Genomic DNA, 20400 nt, shown 5'->3' with positions numbered 1-20400 from the left:
AGCATATAATCTAATGATTAGAGAATAGTTATTTACCAACTGGGTTACATTGGCCAGTTCACCATTCTGAAGCTCAGTTACTTGGTATATTAAGTGGAGATACTAGAATCTCATGCAGGAGCATGTGGATTAAATGAGTTAATACATAAGATGCTTATAACAGTGGCTGGTTCAGAGTAAACATTTAACAAATGTTAGCTATTATTATTACCAAAAGACAAACATATTGCATATTTCCATCAGAGAATATTTGCTTATGGGCTAGACCTTCAGTTATACTGTCATTGCATTCTTCTAACACATAAGGAAGCATAAAAATTACGAGGGAGCTGTGAACCCAAGTGCACTGGTGAAAGAGATTGCAGGATAGTGGTCCAGACGCTGACAAGTACTTGCAACAATTAGCCCCCAGAGACTGAATGAAAGGGATTTCGTAGCCAAGAATTTGTCACAACCACTGTTCCCATTTTCGACTTCGATACTTCATTCAGTCAACAAACATCATGCAAGCAGCTCTTGAAGCCTACACACATTTGGTCTTGCCCCAGCTTATCTTTCTAGAATCAACTTGAGCCCCTTCTACCAACCTCACCATTTTGCAGCTGTACCAGGGTAATTATTCAAAAGACATTTCTTGTTCTTATGATCCTGCCCTCCTGCATTTGCTCAAGTTGTTTGCTCAACCTGGAATTTCCTTTCCTATTTCTGTAGTCTAGCAAGATATTAGTCATCCATCCAGGCCAAATGTTGTGTTGGTTTTTGTGCCCTCCGTTTTCTTCTCCCCCATTGTTTAGCAGGATGAATCCTCCTCACCTCAGTTCTCTTGGTATACAAATGGTAAATATTAATATATACACCTTATTATGGATTGAACTGTGTCCCTCAAAGATGATATTGTGAAGTCCTGACTCTTTGTGTGTGACCTTATTTGGAAACAGAATCTTACAGATTACAGAAGTAATCAAGTTAAAATGAGGTCATTAGGGTGGTCCCTAATCTGACTAGTGTCCTGATAAAATAAGAAAACTTGGAGGCCAAGCACAGTGGCTCACGCCTGTAATTCCAGCACTTTGGGAGGCCACGGAGGGCAAATCACTTGAAGTCAGGAGTTCGAGACCAGCTTGGCCAACAGGGTGAAACCCCGTCTCTACTAAAAATAAAAAATTTGCCAGATGTGGTGGCACACGCCTGTAATCCCAGCACTTTGGGAGGCCCCAAAGCGGGCGGATCACTTGAAGTCAGGAGTTCGAGACCAGCCTGGCCAACATGGTGAAACCTTATTTCTACTAAAAATACAAAAATTAGCTGGGCATGGTGGCACACATGTGTAATCCCAGCTGCTCTGGAGGATGAGGCAGGAGAATTCCTTGAACCCAGGGAGCAGAGGCTGCAGTGAGCCAAGATTGTGCCACTGCACTCCAGCCTGAGCAACACAGCAAGACTCCTTCTCAAAAAAAAAAAAAAAAGGAAGAAAGAAAGAAAGAAAATTTGGACACAGAGACAGATGTACAAAGGAACGACACATGGAGAACTCCAGGTATAGGTAGAGGATTGGAGTGATGCATCTACAAAGTCAAGGAGCCACGAGAAGCTGGAAGAGAGGCATGGGCCCGACTCACCCTCACAGCACCCAGAAGGACCCAACTCTGCCATCACCCTGATTTCAGACATCTAGCCTCCAGAGCTGTGAGGAATACATTTCTATTATTTAGAGCCTCCCAGTTGTGACACTTTGTTAGGACAGCCCTAGGAGACTAATCTGCACCTCAACCACAGCACACGCTTGGTCTCCATGGGAGATCCCTGAGGTCAGGAACTGAAGAGCATTTGTCTCTAGATTCTCAGACCTCTAGCATCATCTGGCAGGTAAAAGGCTCTCTAAACTCTAAATTCTTATGAAGTAACTCTCTAGGAGTCCACAGTCTAGACCAGGGGTCGGTAAACTCTTGGCTTGTGGGCCAGATCCAGCCCACTGCCTGTTTCAGTAAATAAAGTTTTATTGGAACACAGCCACGCTCATCCATTTGTTTTGTCTATGGCTGATTTCACACTAAAACCGCAGAGTTGAGTAGTTGCAACAGAGACCATATGGCCTGTAAAGCCTAAAATATTTACTCTCTGGCCCTTTACCAAAAAATTCTACTGACCCCTGGTCTAAAAGGAAAGAAACATAAATGAAGCACAGCAATAGAATAAAATCAATTCTATAATATAACATAGATAGGTGCAGAGAAAAGAATTATGGGTTGAATCAGTATTTATAGAGAAGATGACATTTTTAAAGTGAGAGTCTAGTTGGAAAAGTCAAAATACATCATTTATTCCCTCTATTGTGTCCTCTGAACTACCAACCTTTGCACTAGTGGTTGCAGAGTGGTTGTGGGCTGGAGTTGTAGAGCTGGTTTGGGGGAAAACGATGATGGGTTCATTCTCTACCCATTGAGTTGGACTGGCCAGTGGCATACCCAAGATGAGATGTCCTCTCACTAAACATTGCTGAGAAGTCTAGGTCAGAGGCACAGATTTGGGGCTTAACACAATACAGATGAAGCCCTCACAGGAAGAGAGAAGCTTACCCAGAAAGAGTAGGAGGTGAGGAGAGAAGACAGTTGCACAGGAAATTCAGGGCACTTCTGAACTTAGCAGTAGTAAAGGAAGAGGAAAAGCCCCTGAGGGGCCTTTTTACAGAGAAGAGAGACAGGGAAAAAAAAAGAGGGAATGCTGTTCCTCGGGCCCAGGAAAAGAGGGTCCAGCAGTGTCCAGATGCCAGGAGAATGAATCTGACATATTCAGCAACCAAGAGGCCAATGGCCTGGCATCAGTCATTTCAGTTGCTTATCACTGGCACAAGTTACTACTCAAACTGAACCATAGGAAAAGGGAACTTCAGTTATCATGAATAGAAAACAATAGAGACTAAGAGAAAGGGAAAGAAAAAAAATTTTAAAAAGAGATGAGAAAAACACAGAAATTGAAGATAACAGGGCTGAAATTAACCTCATCCATGAAATCTATGTTATGCTCGTTCTATATCAACTTTATACTTTATCTAAATTCAACAGAGCTAACTGAAAAAACAAGGAAAATTCTACCATTTGAGACAACATGGATGAACCCAGAGGACATTATGCAGAGTAAAGTAAGCCAGACACAGAAAGACAAACAATGCATGATATCACTTACATATGAATTCTAAACAAATCAAACTCATAGAAACAGAGCGTAGAAAGGTGGTCAGGGGATGCAGGATACAATACAGGGAGGAGATTTTGGTCAAAGGGTACCAAATTTCAGTCATAAAAGACGTAAGTTCTATAGATCTAATATACAACCTGGTAACTACAGTTAATACTAGACTGTATGCTTGAAACTTGCCAAGAGAGCAGGTCTTAAGTGTTCTAATCATAAAAAAAAAATAACTGTATGAGGTGACAGATATGTTAATTGTGAAATCACTCCAAACCTATGCATATAATTGTCCCCCCTTATCCAAGGGGAATATGTTCCAAGATCTCCAGTGGGTGCCTCAAACCACAGATAATACTTAGCCCTACATGTACTATGTTTTGTCCTGCACATACATATCTATGATAAAGTTTAACTTATAAACTAGGCACTGTAAGATAGTAACAATGAAAACTAGCAAAAAAATAAACAATTATAACAATATACTATAATGAAAGTTATATGAAGGTGGTCTCTCTCGCTCTTTCTCAAAATATTTTATTGTACTATATTCACTGATTTTCAGACCTCAGTTGACTGTGAGTAACTGAAACCATGCAAAGAAAAACCATGAATTAGGGGGAACTACTGTATATCAAAACATCACATAGTACACCTTAAATATACACAATTTTAATTTGTCAATTGTACCTCAGGAAAGCTGAGCAGAAAAGAAATAAATTCAACAGGGCTGAAAATTAATCAAGTGCATATGATTCATTCTTTTAGACAGCGCAGAAAATTCGATAACTGACTTAAAGCACATTAACAGGTTTTAAAGTAATCCCAGCTACAAATTATTGACTGCCCGCTCTGCGCCAGGTGCTGTGAAAGTTGCTTTAGATGGATTACCTCATTTGATCCCCACTAAAACCCTGTGTGGTGAATATATAGTAAAGTATAATTTATGATTTTTAGATGAGGAAGTTGAGGTTCAGAAATATCTCACAGCTATACACCATTCTGGGAAGGAGGAAAATGGGGAGCAGAGAAGAAGGGAGGAAACCAAAGTCAATATTTATAAATTGTTTACTGTTTGTAAGTATTACTGTAAGAATTTTAAATACTTTGGGTTCATTTCAGCCTCACAACAACCTATATGGTAGAGGGAATGGCAAGTAAATGAACTTAAAGAGGTTGCCAAAGCTTAGAAGTGAGGGAAAAACTGTGGGTTTCCAAAGAAATCTCTCAGAATTCAGAAATGAACTAACTATGGAGTTATGTGAGGGTAAGATCAGTCTAAGTCAATGCTAAAATAATACAAAATAACTCTGACTGCCTTCTAAGACATTTCTGAAGAGTTCCTCTGACCTTGAATGGAGGAAAACAGAACCATCCTCCCCTCCCCACATCTCCTACAGTCCACCCCCAGGAGAGGGAAAGGCCCCAACGAGGTGGCACTGGCTTGAAGCTCCTCCTCTGTGTCATAAGGGATGGGATCACATGACCCTGAATTCCTTCCAGAATTAAACATCAATGTTTTCAAGCACATGATAGAGTCTGGCAGGTAAAGGGACTGCAATGAGTGCTTATTACATAAGGAATTCAACTGAGATTTTAAAAGACCCCAATGAAGAGTATGTGAAAAATGGTCAATTGTCACAAATCACTTCCTTGTCTTGAAGGGGCTTTGTTCTGCAGAGTCTCCGCTTCCTTGCTTTACACAACTCCTGATATTCCAGTACAAAGTTGTGATCCAGGCCTCTCCTTGTCCTCATTCATGCATTCGTTCCACAAACAAAAAATTCTTCTCTGAAATGTATGTCATCCATTTTAGTGAACACTTAGAAGATGATCTTGAAATAATTGAGCATGCTAACAAACCAGGGAAAGGCCTGCTTAAGAACAATGAATGTTCATAATGCCTGAGGGAAGACAAGAAAATAGATTACTTATTCTTTATCATGGTTCTAATTAAGAATTTGGGTTCTTTGTTGTTGACTATGGAGAAATAAAACCCTCATACTCTGCTGGTGGAAGTTCTCATTACTTCTGGGAAATAACCTGGCAATTCTTATCATGAGCTTTAAAGTAAGTCAAGCCCTTGACTATGGAATTCTCCTTCTAAGGTTATAAACTTAGGAAAAGCACCAGAAAAGCAGGATGAGGGAAATAGTATCATGTTTTGCTCAAACTCTGGATTTATAGTGCCTGTACTATTCTAATGCTCACTTAGATGATCTACTTAACCTCTGTGCCTAAGTTTCCTCATCTGAAAAATGGAGATGACAATGGTCTCTGCATCACAAAGTTAACATCAAATGAGTTTAAAAGTGCAACATAATTTACATTTATTTTCTCTCTTTTTTTTTTTTTGAGACCGAGTCTCTCTCTTTCAACCAGGCTGGAGAGCACTGGTGCAATCTTGGCTCACTGCAACCTCCACTCGCAGGTTCAAGAGGTTCTCACGCCTCAGCCTCCTGAGTAGCTAGGATTACAGGCACACACCACCATGCTCTGCTCATATTTGTATTTTAGTAGAGACCATGTTTCACCATGTTGGCCAGGCTGGCCTTGAACTCCTGACCTTAAGTGACCTGCCTGCCTTGGTCTCCCAAAGTGCTGGGATTAAAGGCGTGACCCACCGCATCCAGCCTCTCATTTATTTCTCGTAAAAACTCCACAAGGAAGGCAAGAAAGATATTGGCCTGACATAGTCAATAGTAAGCATTCTCAATTAAATACAGTTTATTTTTATTAGTATCATGTATATTACAAAGATATAAAGATGTTCATTATATTATTTATTATAGTGAAAATGTGTCAAAAATTAATTGTTCAACAATAAGAGAACAGTTAAATAAATGATACTTTCATATGATAAAATAAGCAGATATTTAAAATGTTGATTTCAAAGAGAGGTTAACAAAATGGGAAAAATTCATCAAATAGTGTTGAGTGAAAAAGTAGGTGGAGAAGTTGCATGGACTGTATGATCCCAATTTTAACATGACATTGCAGTGGATACCGAATGCAGTCTTTGCCCAACTCCCCTTTGTGAAGTACCTGTCCCTCTCCAGCTGCTGGGAATATCACTGCTGATAGCACACAGCTGCATCCCCTATTGGGAATTGTCCTTGGCCCCAAAAAATAGAATCATCCAGAATTAGCCCCTCTAGGGGGCCAATGACTCACTGATGCAAGGATACAAAAGCCGGGCCAGTTACTTTACTTTGGGTCAATTCTAAAGGGCCGTCCCAGCTCCACAGCTCCCTCCATGATTGGCTGAGTCTCAGTTGCAACTGCATCTGGAGTCAGATTCTCCTCTGCACAGCGCGGTCCTTCCTTACTTTCTTACAAGGAGCATCTCCTGAAAGCATGCTCCCAGTAAGCATTCAGCAGGCAATTCTCAGAGTCTGTTTCCAGAGAACCCAATCTAAGGTATATTTAGATCAAAATATAATGAAGAGATGGAGCGTGGTAGATTTGGCGGGCAATGAAACTATTCTATGTCATACTTTGGTGGATACATGTCATTATACATTTGTCCAAACTCATGCTATATACAAGAATGAACCCCACTGTAAACTATGGACTTTGGATGATAATGTTATCTTGATGCAGGTTCATCAGTTGTAACAAATGTCTACTCTGGCAGGAAATGTTGATAATGGGGGAGGATCTGCACGTGTTAGGGAAGTGGGTATATGAGAACTCTCTGACCTGCTCAATTTTGCTGTGAACCTAAAACTGCTCTAAAAAATTAAGTATATTAAAAATATATATATTATGAGGGAATAGCTCTGAGTAAAGAAATTTCTGGATTTTCCAAATTCTGTATAAAAAGTATGTAGTACTTATTTTAAATGAATAAAATGACATTGTTTTAAAAGACGCAGAGTCCTCCCTGGACTGTTATAATTAATTAAGCCCATGAATGTCAATACATAGATTTTGTTTTATTTCTTTATCTCAAGCTGAGTTTTCTTTAAAAATATGCACATGTTTTCATTTAAATGGCATCACTCATAAGGAATGAGCCTAAATTAAATATATACACATACACTTCAGAGTATAAGTGTCTCAACCTGGCCATCAGGTTCCTTAATGTTCATATCCTAATGATCTACTGCAGCTTAAAATCTGACTCCTTACTCTGGGAGAATTGTTTTCATATTCTGTGCTATTTACTAGTCACACAAGAAAATCAGCCTCATGGTTTTGTAATAGTACTGTGGTGATTTATTTTTTTAAATCTTGCCCATTTTCCCACTCATCTCATTGTCCACTCAGTTAGATTCTGAAAACTACTGAAAGTTTCAAAAGATCCAATTCTTCCTCAAAAAAGATTAAGATTTTTCTTCATTGAGGATATTCAAAAACGTGCCAGAGATTTTGACAGTAGTTTCAGAAGAGGAGGCCTAAGACATCTGGAGTGATGACACATTGTTGGAGTATGAGCTCAGCCACCTACAGTAGCTGCTTGGAGAACACAATGCTTTGAATGGATTGGCTTTGGGTGTTTCTTCAAAGTTAAATCCACCATGGAACTTCAGCTTAGATTTTAAAATAATATAACTTTAGAAGTAACTATTTGAGTCAGACTTTCCACTTGTAGGTACAGAACATCTCCTCCTATGGATAAATGGCAAATTATTGTTACGAGATCAGAAAAAGCCGTCAAGATCTAAGGAAGCTGGAGGTGAACGAAAGAAGCCTGTGGAAATCTTCCACTCAAATAGTATATACTGCTCTCAGAGAAGTTATTATAACTATCGATAAAGGGGGAAAGAACAGACAAAGATTTTGGCTTTATATTTTTTGTATCATCAGTCTTGCCTTTGTGAGGATATACAATGTTCTTGCATCAGCAGCAGTTGGATTTTTTTCCCCACTGGAAACATCAAGTACAGCCTGTGATATAGGGTATCCAGGTAAAAGATTTTCGTATTTGGAGAGGAAATACTGCATGAAGTCCAGGGAAATAGCATGTTTTTATAACGGTAGTCTTTCTAGTAATCCCAATTCTGGGAGACTAACTCAAGAAAATAAGCAGAAATGTAGGAAAAACTTCATGCACAAGGATATCAATCATAATGCTATTATTTATGTATAAATATTCTCACAACAGTGAGAATAAGCTAAATGCTCCATACTAGGCAAATGGTTTGAGTAAACTCTGCTGCGTCAACTCACTGATGTTTCTGAAGATTTTATAATAATAAGGAAAAATAGTCATAGTGTTGAATGAACAATACCGGATATACAGTTCTATGTCTGATGTAATGCTAATCGCACACACACACACGCACACGCCAAGTAAGCATTAAAAAATAACTAGAAGGAAAAACAACAGAATGTCACCAACCAGGGGATGTCTTAGTGAAGTTTTATGTATTTTTTTCCCTTTCTTCTACTAGTCTGTATGTTACTCATTTCTTTCAATGAAATAGAAATTATAAACCTTATATTATAAAAATAAAAAGAGGAGGAGGGGCTGGGCACAGTGGCTCATTCCTATAATCCCAGCACTTTGGGAGGCCGAGGCGGGTGGATCACCTGAGGTCGGGAGCTCGAGACCAGCCCGACCAACATGGAGAAACCCCGTCTCTACTAAAAATACAAAATTAGCTGGGCATGGTGGTGCATGCCTGTAATCCCAGCTACTCGGGAGCTGAGGCAGGAGAACTGCTTGAACCTGGGAGGCAGAGGTTGCCGTGAGCCAAGGTCACGCCATTGCACTCCAGCCTGGGCAACAAGAGTGAAACTCCATCTCAAAAAAAAAAAGAGAGAAGAGGCGGAAGAGAATGGCTATACCTTCACCCTGGTTACTGAGGTGATTAGGGAAAATAAATGGAAGGAGCCTTGATGGATCATTGAAATCAGCCACCAGGTTGCTGATATAGAAAACAAGCAATGTAAGAAACTGACCAAAAAGAACATGTTAAAATAAGAGTGAAAGAGTAGGCACTGTAAGAATTTGCATTAGGAAAGTATTTTGAAATGCTCCTCAGTGTGGTTTTATCATGTTTCTTTTCACTCAGACCTTTCTTCCATTCAGTGAGCTGTGCATTCAGAACCACTTGTTCAAAAAGAAAGGAAAACCTAAGACCCTATCTCAAAATGAGACCCTGTCTTAGAAAGGAAAACCACAATTCTGTTCTTGGCCTGGGTTTTAGAGCCCAAAGCTAGTGAGGAGTAGAAGAATTTGGGACATAAATTGAGAGAAAGTCTAGCTGACCCTCCATATTAGAAAACATTGCCCAGACTAGGATGAAAGGGAGACGTGGAAAGCAAGCTAAGAGAGCTGGACACCGGTGGATCCCCGACAGTGGGTCCTGCAGCCTGGCCCAACCCACTGACCTTGTGGGAATGGGAAGGGAAATGCCTCAAACCCCATGCAGGCTTGATGATATGTGTGCCCCTTTCTCCAGGTAAAGTCATGGAGGCTGCAAGATGTCATAGGAGAAAATGTGGCCATGTGAGATCTAAGCAGCCCAAAGCAATTAAGTTTCCCCATGCCAAAATGATGCAGAAGAGAGGCTGGATTCCTGTATGCCTAAGAGCACTCACGAGGAGTGAATTCTACCAGTACTCAGCTACCCAGCCACCCAGCAGGACATGGAGGGACAGAATACCTTTTATGCTCCCAAGGGCCCACTGATAAGCCTAGGGCCTTATCAGCCTTAGTAAGTTCCTGTGTCCAAGGAACTGCATCCAAGAGAGACACAGAAGTAGCAGAAAGAGCCAGCCAGCTTTGAAAGAGCTCTGAGATGAGAACGAAATGTCCCTAGCAATGATCTCTGTTGCCTGAGGACCAGGAACCAGGCCGAATGATGGTCATCTCAGGGGCTTCCATACGTAAGCCCCCAGGAAATGCAAGGTAATCATGGGAAGAGGTGGTGCTTAACTGACTGAAATTTAATTTCCAATACTCAAAGGAATGGGAGTGCAAATGAGAGGTTAGCTATTTCATTGATACTAAAATGCCATCGATTGTAAAATACATCATTAATTTGTGTGCCACCAAGAAAGAAAGATGCCCCCAATTAATCTATGAAACAATGCTTTCTCTTTGTTTCAAATTTTTATTTTATACTTGCTGGAGAAGCCCTTTAAGACTTGTTGGGACGTAGACTTTTATTACATGTCACTCTTGTACACATAAAAAAGAAAATAAATGTATTAAGAAATTCCTAAACATATCTCTTCATTCAGAGTCTAACTCTTCCACATCACTGTTTATATTTTTCTCCTCACTATTTTTCTCTGTTGGTGATGAAACATTTCTTACTAGTATCCTCACTCTTGACTCCAGGTTTTCTTCCAAGATGTTGTCACCCATTGTTAAAGGTTTAATGTGAGCCAGGCGCAGTGGCTCATGCCTGTAATCCCAGCACTTTGGGAGGCCGAGGCAGGCGGATCATGAGGTCAGGAGATCGAGACCACGGTGAAACCCCGTCTCTACTAAAAATACAAAAAATTAGCCAGGTGCGGTGGCGGGCGCCTGTAGTCCCAGCTACTCAGGAGGCTGAGGCAGGAGAATGGCGTGAACCCGGGAAGCGGAGCTTCCAGTGAGCTGAGATTGTGCCACTGCACTCCAGCCTGGGCGACAGAGGGAGACTCCGTCTCAAAGAAAAAAAAAAACAAAAAAAACAAAAAGGTTTAATGTGAGTGCGCTCTTGCTTGGCATGTACTAACATGCAATGCTTTTTAACATAACTCTGTATCGCAGTTTCGTATACTTATAGTAATTTAATTCTCTTACTCTGTATGACACTGTAGCTTTGAAGTGATTCTTATAATTTTTTTTTGCTTTACTATATTTACACTCCACTACTGTTTCTGAGCCTTTCTGTTCATTATAAGTTTTCATTTCATTGCTGAAACTCAGGATAATCTTTTTGAAAATATTGCAAACAGCAACTAAACTCTGCCTGGGTAATACCAACAGTGCATATTATTCAACTAAAGAGGTAACAATATCTAAATACCTATGACCATGTTCACACACATACAGACAATGGCAAATAAATCAGCACTGCCACCCAGCAAATAGCAATTCAAACATGCCATCAATTATTAGATCCACATTTCAGAGATGTTAGCATACAAAAAGGCATGTATTGGAATTAATAAAATATGGTAATTTGAGTTAAAGGAAAATGTAAAGTACATTTTTTACACACCTGAACTTATAGAACAAAGTTATACCCATTACACTGGTGTAAGGCCCTCCCCATACAGCAAAGAGAGACTATCACTTGCATTTTAAATGCATCCAGTTAAGAGTTTCATTAGCAGGCTGGCCACAGGATAAGGTCCAAAGTCCTTAGTCTAATATGATCTCATGATCTCTGGCTGGAATAGGTTAAGCAGGAACAGGATCCCTGAGCTGCTGACATGAAAAGGAAGGTTATATGGCTTCACACAGGAAGTGTCACAGCATGCATTTTTCTGTCTCATCAAAGAAGACATTTTCAGCCTGGCCCTTAATCAGGTAGTGAGTCTTCCTGACGAAGAGCAGACTATAAACTTGCTTTCACCATGTGGCTGCAGCACAGTCTTTAAAAATGTATTTTCATATATATATAAAAGTTTTTATATTAAAAAATGTACATATACAGGTAAAGAGAGGATAGACATGTGCCTAACAGCTTAGGCTTCTAGTCCAACCAATATGTATTTGAGTCCCAGATCTGCACTTATTTATTGTATGACAAGTTGTTTAATTTCTGTGTGGCAGAGACTGGCTAGATACTCACCAAAATTGTTTCCTCTTCTCCTAGGTGTATAAGAAGATTATATTTCCCAGCCCCCTTGCATTTCAACAAAGGCATGTAATTGATTCCTGGCCAATAAAATTTGAGCAGAAGGAATACACTACTTCTAGGCCTGGGTTCTAAACCCTTTTGTATGATCTCCACTTCCTCTCTCCTTTGTCTTGTCAGTGCCACCAGATTCAGAGGACCTAAGGGAGGATTCTGAGACCCATATGAAAGGAGCCTGAATCCGTGAATAACTATGTGGAGTAGACACCCTTGACCACTAAGGTACATGGACATGAGCAATAAAATAAGGCTTTGTGTGTTACAGTAGTTATCACACTCTATTTAATACATGCTGTATACCTCAGCTTCTTCACCTGTGGAAAATATTAAGTTAATTACTCAAAGGAGTAGCACAATGCCTTTTACATAGTAAGTACTAAATAGTAGAAGCTATGTTACTATTGCTGTAGATATCATCCTTGTTATTACTGAGGCAAAGAACTCAGGTATAGATGTTGAACAAGCAGGCAGTTTTTTGCGCATATATTAGAGGGAAGTAAAACTTTTCTAAATATCAACTGGTGCAGACTTATGTAAAGTGAAATTTGAGCAATCACATTTCAGACACCAAGAATCATCCGCAAATAGTAAGTAATAAAGACCCTGAAAGAAGGAAGTGACTGATTCCTGAGCAGGCAGCGTAGGTTAAGGACAAGTGTCGGTTAAGGACCAGCATCAGAGTCAGAAGGAGGTCAGCAGAAGCTGGGAGAAGAGGAATCCAGATCAGGCCAGAACAGAAACTGCTCCCCAGGGCCACACTGGGCAATGTTTCTCAACAGTGCTCCAGGGAAGAGGAAGTAGTTGTCATCATCAAAATTCTACCCCCTGAACATAGAATGGTTAAATTAAAATAGAATTAAATACATGTAGTTCTTATTGTTTCCATAAAATTATCAGAGACCATCCTGGTAACTGCTATAGAGACATCCCCCACCTGCCATTTGGATTTGATTCTCGTAAATAAAATGAATCCTTCTTGTCAAACATTGCTTTAACAAGCTTTATTTCTTTTGTGATTTTTTGTTGTTGTTGTTGTTTGTTTGTTTTTGTTTTTGTTTTTGTTTTGTTTTTGAGACAAAGTCTTGCTCTTGTCCCCAAGGCTGTAGTGCAATGGCACTATCTCGGCTCACTGCAACCTCCGTCTCCCAGGTTCAAGTGATTCTCCTGCCTCAGCCTGCCAAGTAGCTGGGATTACAGGCGCCCGCCACCACGCCCAGCTAATTTTTGTATTTTTAGTAGAGATGAGGTTTCACCATGTTGGCCAGGCTGGTCTCGAACTCCTGACCTCAGGTGATCTGCCTGCCTCAGCTTCCCAAAGTGCTGGGATTACAGGCGTGAGCCACCGTGCCCGGCCACAAGCTTTATTTCCTTTTTTTTTTTTTTTGAGACGGAGTCTGGCTCTGTCGCCCAGTCTGGAGTGCAGTGGCGCAATCTAGGCTCACTGCAAGCTCCACTTCCCAGGTTCACACCATTCTCCTGCCTCAGCCTCCCTAGTAGCTGGGACTACAGGTGCCCACCACCACGCCCAGCTAATTTTTTGTATTTTCAGTAGAGACAGGGTTTCGCCGTGTTAGCCAGGATGGTCTCGATCTCCTGACCTCATGATCCTCCCGCCTCAGCCTCCCAAAGTGCTGGGACTACAGGAGTGAGCCACCGCGCCCGGCCCACAAGCTTTATTTCTAATTGTGTGTGCAACACATTCTACTGGCATTTGAGACTTTGCCAAGTCAATCTTGTCAGTTGTTTATTCATTCACTCATTCATTCATTCAAACATTTATTGAGCACCTACTCTGTGCCAAGCACTGTGTTACCAGATATATAGCAGCAGCAAAACAAATACAGCTTCTGCCCTCATTGTTCTTAATAGGGGGCAGGGGAGACAGACCAGAAAAAGGTAAACAAATAACAAATAAAGGTATAATTACATATGTAGGAAAGTAATCTGAATGTGAAAAAAAATGAAATCATTAAGTTTCTGATAGAGAAGAACAAGAGGGACTGGATTTAGAGAGAGCACGTGGGGAACCCCGCCTGAGGAGATGATGTTTAAGCATAAATATGAAGAAACAGGAGTTGACCAGGGGTAAAGTACTCCAAACCATAAAGAAGGATCTTGGGCAAGGCAAGAAGCATTTCAACAATTGCAAAGAAGCTACTGTAATTGGAGCCCAAGAGTGAGCAAAGGTGAATGCGGTGCAAGATGGGATTGGAAAGGTAAGGAAGTACTAGACTGTGCAGGGTCACAAACAAAGCTGGGGTCTAAGCCAAAGACATAGTTGGGGTCCTTTCCAAGTGCAACAAAAACCACAGGAGGGTTTTAAGTGGATGCTGTCATATGATCTGGCTTACAATGTTTAAAGTTCATTCAAGATTGCCAAGTGGAGAACTGGCTAAAGGAGACAAGAGAAGAAGCAAGCAGACCCATTAGGAGGAGGCTGTTTCCATTCTCAAGCACACGCTGGTGGCAAGCTGGATGAGCAAGGGGCAGAGATAGTGACAGAAAGGACATAGTGAGAGATATTTTGGAGGTAAATACTTCAGAACTTGCAGATGTGAGAGTGAGGGCAACAGAAGGATGAATGTCAACCCTCAGATTTTCTGTTTAACCAGCTGGGCATATAAATGTGAATTTTACTGAGATGGGAAAAGATGGAGAATAAAGTGGATTAGGGAACAGAGAAATCAGAAATTCCATTTTGGACTTGTTACTTGGGAGCTATCAAGGAAGCCTGGTGTCCCAGCACTTCTTTCTGAGCTTTCTTCCCATTCTTCCCTAACAATAACTCTCTGATAATCAATTTGGACTTTTTCCTGTCCCCCAAAGGCCTCCAACAGTAGGAAAAATCTTTCTCTCTGCATGATTTTACTCCCTATTTTCTACCTACCAAAATCGTATTGATCTACTCCCACCCTGCATTTACCATCAAGTTATTTATATCATTCATTTGAAGCGCCACATGACAGTAATGAATGGGAGTTACGAGTAAAAACTTTGGATTCACTCACATCTGGGTTTTAACCCTGGCTCTGCTATTTGCTGGTTGTATGATAAATTGAGCAAACCATTTAACCTCTTTGAGCCTCAGTTTATTATCTGTAAAATGACATAGTCAACCCACCATGGCAGACACTGCTATTTATGTTCCCAATGTAAGTTCTCTCCTCATTTTTCCTTCTTATAGAGCCCCAGTTTTGTTCAGGGTAACAATGTGCCCAGCTAAAATGCTCAAGCAACTGGCTTCCTTAAAGCTGATGGTAGCCTACTGACATTGTTCTGGCTAATAGTATATAAGAGGAAGTATTCTTGAATTTCTGGGAAAACATTCCTTTTCTTATATAAGTGCCCCACGCCCGTTACACCATCCTTCATCCTGCTTTACACACAGATGTGATGCTTGAATGGGCAGCAACTATGACTGTGGAGCTAAGGGCTGTAGAGCAGAAATATGGAGGAGACTGTGTCCCAGGTGGTCCTAACCAGGGCAACAAACTCTAGGCTTTTTGTAGCATGATATAAATAACCTCCTTACTTGTTTAAGCCAGTATATATTTTTTTGGCTTTTCTGTTGCCAGTCAGCAAATACATTTTAACAAACCCATCTACTTCATGGGCTGATTTGGTAAGTATTAAATAAGCAATGTCTATACAACGCTCAGTAGCTGCTGAGAATTATTATGCTACTCTTACCTTGCTATTTAAATCATTTTGGTATATATGTGCCTTGTTCCCTCAATAGACTGTTACATGACCTCAAGACAGAGATTTCTGTAGCGTTTGGTAATCCCTTCCCACACATAATGGGTGCTCAACAAATCCATTGACAAGGTGGCCACCCTTTCCTTTTCTGGAGAATATCAGCCCAAATTTTCTTTATCGTCCTCTTTTCTCCATCTATTGCTTTAGTTTTCATCAGCAGTGCCAGCTTCAAAGAGATGTTTTTCTGTAATCTTTTTAAAAAAATAAACGTTTTTATGTATATTTAAGGTATATAACATGTTAAGGGATATACAGAGATAGTAAAAAGGTTATTATAGTGAAAACAAATTAACATAGTCGTCATTTCACATAGTTACCCATGGCAAGAGCAGCTAAAATCTACTCATTTACAGTGAATTCTATACACAGCACAATTTAATTACCTAAGATCTTCATGTTGTAGATGAGATTTCTAGACTCGTTCATCCTACATATCTACCACTTTCTATCCTCTGACCCACATGTCCCCATTTCGTCTTCACTCTCTACCCCTGCCTCAGTAATCACTGTTTTGTTCTCTGTCTCTAAATATTTTCAATGTATTTACTTTATTTATTTATTTTTTTTGAGACAGAGTCTCACTTTGTCACCCAGGCTGGAATGTAGTGACATGATCATGACTCACAGCAGCCTCGACCTCCTGGACTCAAGCTATCCTCCCACCTCAGCCTCCTCAGTAGTTGGGACTACAGGTGGGTGCCATCATGCCTGGCTATCTTTTAAATTTGTTTTGTAGAGATAGGATCTCACTATGTTACCCAGGCTGGTCTCAAGTGATTCTCCCACCTCAGCCACCCAAAGTGCTGGGATTACAGGCATGAGTCACAGGGCCCAACAGTGAATTTGTTTTTAGATTCCACATGTGACAGCATATTCTACATGTGAGGTCATATTCCACATATGAGATCATGCAGTATTTGTATTTCTGTGTCTGGCTTATTTCACTTAGTATAATATCCTCCACGCTCATCCATGTTGTGGCAAATGGCAAGATCTTGCTCTTTTTTAGGGCTGAATAATATTCCATTGTATATACACACCACAGTTTCTTTATCCATTTGTCCACTGATTGACACTTAGGTTGTTTCCATATCTTGGCTATTGTAAATAATTCTGCAGTGAACATGGGGGTGAAGATATCTTAAAAAGGTGGTGATTTCATTATCTCTGGGTTTATGCCCAAAAGAGGGACAGCTAGATCAAATGGTAGTTCTATTTTTTCCTACAGTCTTATTTTTTTGTAAGATTTACCCCAGTGGCCTCTCATGCAGGCCTGATCTTTCCAAAAAAACTAGAGAATGGTTTGGGAATAATCTCAGTAACTGTCATTTCTCACACACTAGTCTTTGATGGTGGTTCAGACATTGTGGAATGGTCTTTAGGATTTTCACCTCTTTAGTAGAGCTGCCTATGGCTTCTTTCTTTCTTCACCCACTCTCTTAAAGTAAAAAAAACATGAGTCAGAGTCATCACTAAAGAGAAAAGTCAAACAGTATTAATGCTCTAGAGACATCAAAAGTATTATGAAAAGGAAGTGTTTGAGTGGAAAATATCCACCTATGGAAATAAAACTGCCAGCATCTGAGCGTAAGTATGAAACCCAGTTAATGGATGTGAGAAATGGTGAGAAGCTCTTTACCATGGAGTCAAGTCTCTGGCAAATGATCTTGGATGAATCCAGTTTGCACTGGGATTTGAAACTTTCCATGCTCTTGTATTTCATCAGCTGCTTTGAGTTACTTTTAAAGAAACACATTTTTAATGAGAAATTTTTGACAGAGAATAAATGCAGATGTAATTCTTTGGAACAATTGTTTCCTTTGTTGATGGATTTTTTTTCCACAGTGCCCACTCACAATTAAATAAAACAGTAATTAAAACCCTAAATCCACTCAAAATTATTGTTTCATCAGTCACCTCCAGAGATCCTTCTAATGTCTTTGTGGAAAGAATGTCTTAACAGAGATGCAATGTGCTAAGACACAAAGCCTTAGATTTTTCAAACTTGGAGTAATAAATTCTAAATACGCAAGAACTTTTTAAGTGACTAGAAAATTATTACAATGAAATAAAAACCCAAGGCTATACGCCATAGGATAGCTTAATCCCCTTGGGAAAAAAAAAAGACTGTTTTTTTTTTTTTGAGATTTTTATACAAATTACAAAAACATTGAAAAATTTAGTGATATATATGTTACAGACATAGACCAATACACTTCTCTTCATGCAGACATGAAACTCAGCCTAATTTAGCCATGACATAGTGCATCTTTCTGGGTATCTCCCTAATGGAGACAGGGTGTATTTAAATCTGATGTTCACTCATCAATTGAGTCTTTGAAGCTTCTTAAACTGATTCAAGAATGAGTTCTCCTCCCCTATTTCTTCCTCCTCCTCACTTCCTTCTCCTTCTCTGGCATTCTCCACTTTCCTAAAAGTACCATTATCCTGCCAACAACACAAGCAGGCAACTTCCAAGGGTAACACAGACTGCTTCTTTTCAAGGCCTACTTGAGCCATTTCTCTGTAATTTAATTTCTTTTTCATCTGCTCTCTTCCTGTTCTCCTTTTATTAAAACTACATTATTATTGTTATTATTATTATTGATTGAAATGGGGTTTCCCTTGTCACCCAGGCTGGAGTGCAGTGGTGAGAACATAGCTCACTGCAGCCTCAACTTCCTGGACTGAAGCCATTCTCCCGCCTCAGCCTCCCATGTAGCTGGGACTTCAGGCACATGCCATCACTCTCAGCTAATTAAAAAAAATTATTTGTAGAGATGGGGGTCTCACAGCATTGACCAGGCTCGCCTCAGACTCCTGGACTCAAGGGAACCTCTCACCTTAGCCTTCTAAAGTGTTGGGATTACAGGCATGAGCCACCACACCCAGCCTATTTTCTTATCTTGCGCCAGATCTCCCAATGTCCACTCCTTCCTCACTCTAATCCTCACAACACAGTGTTTCCAAGTTAATATTCCTAAAGGCAGCTAATGAATCACTCCCTCCCTCACTCATGAAACTCTGATACTCACTTTGCCTGCCTAGAGGCCATTACAGGGGTTAAGCCGCAATTTACTTTTTTGGTTTAACATGCGTCTTCCTCCATTTGTGTACCCTTAGCCCCACAGCTAAACTGAATTGTCCTTAGTTTTCCACACATAGTGGCCTCGACCCTCTCCAGATCTTCACTCATGCTATTTTCTCCACAAGGGATGCCACTGCTCTCAAGTCAGCATATCTAAATCCTATCCACCCTTCAATTCCCAATTCAAGAAAAGAATACCCTATGAATTGGGCCTTGAAGGATGGCTGCAGGTTCATAAGAATCCTAGAGTGTTCAGAAAATTTCTAGAGCTGATGTCTATCACATTCAAGCTTTCTCTTTCTGCACTCAGCTGATTTCAGACATTTCTCTAAAATGCTCATTTCCTACTATTAATTCTTACCTTTTTTTCCCCTTTGATCTTTTGTTTACTGAGCAAATGAACTGAGAAGTGAGTATCGCTCATATAAAGAGTTCTGGAGGTGCAAGTGGATATGTCAGAGACAGTCTACCCAGCATCATTTGTAAATTACCAATCACTCACATCTTGAAAGCATTAGTTAAAACCTTCTTGAGGTGATGGAAGATAGTCATGCCTCTTGAGTAGGAGTGTGAAGAGATCTCAGCCCTGCCAGTAAACCCTAAATCCTCAAGCTCTGGGCATTCCCATCCTGCACCAAGAAATTCACACTCCAATTCTATAAGGTTTCCTATGATGAGGAAAACAAATTAAAAGTAACTGGCTGGCACTAAAGACAGAGTTTTAAAGTTTCCACTGCCTGCCTAAATGTGGATTTCCCACATTGCCCATATCTTAGGCCAGGTCTTTTGATTGCAAGAACACTCAAGTTGACACATACAAAGGATTAATATTATGAGAATACATAGGAATCTCATAGATTCCCAAAGACGGTAAACTATAATACATCCTGGTGCCTCATGAGAACTGGAGCTTGGGAAGCAATAGGAACCATGGCCACTTAATGTGTAGGACTTCTCTGCTTTTCTCAGCACATCTGTTTTCTTCTCTTTCTTACCATCCACTGTCCTCTGCTTTCTCAGTCTTTTCTCCCTCAAAACTTTAACTTGTACTTGGTCTCTTAAGATCCAGCCTGCCCCAACTTCACCTGTGATACCTAACTGGCTTAGTCTCTCAGTGTTCCAATTCTTCCTTGCTGAGAGAGCAATGTGATTCGTTTAAAAGCATTTGGGGGTCCAGGTACGGTGGCTCATGCCTGTAATCCCAACACTTTGGAAGGCTGAGATGGGCAGATCACTTGAGGTCAGGAGTTCAAGACTAGCCTGGCCAACATGGCAAAATGCTGTCCCTACTAAAAATACAAAAATTAGCCTGGCATGGTGGCACATGCCTGTAATCCCAGCTACTCAGGAGGCTGAGGCACAAGAATTGCTTGAACCGGGGAGGTGGAGGTTGCAGTGAGCTGAGATCATGCCACTACACTCCAGCCTGGGTGACAGACCAAGACTCTGCCTCTAAAATAAAAATAATAGAATAAATAAAAGCATTTGGAGGAAGGTCACTAGCCTATGGTTGGGTCACCCTTAAGTTAGCTTGTTATGTATATGTGTGAATAGGGG

At 40.4% G+C, this 20400-nt stretch overlaps 1 annotated feature.

The window, feature by feature from the left end:
* Window positions 12733-12782: a silencer, noted in NCBI's record as "silent region_2588". NCBI's record gives its function as "represses an Ori minimal core promoter by ATAC-STARR-seq in GM12878 lymphoblastoid cells {active_cell/tissue: GM12878}" and the evidence as "EXISTENCE:reporter gene assay evidence [ECO:0000049][PMID:35858748]".

This window comes from Homo sapiens, chromosome 10 (genome assembly GCF_000001405.40).
Source record: "Homo sapiens chromosome 10, GRCh38.p14 Primary Assembly".
In the NCBI taxonomy this organism is placed as follows: domain Eukaryota; kingdom Metazoa; phylum Chordata; class Mammalia; order Primates; family Hominidae; genus Homo; species Homo sapiens.
Note: the sequence above shows the minus strand (reverse complement) of the source record. Positions and strands in the feature narration are given on the sequence as shown.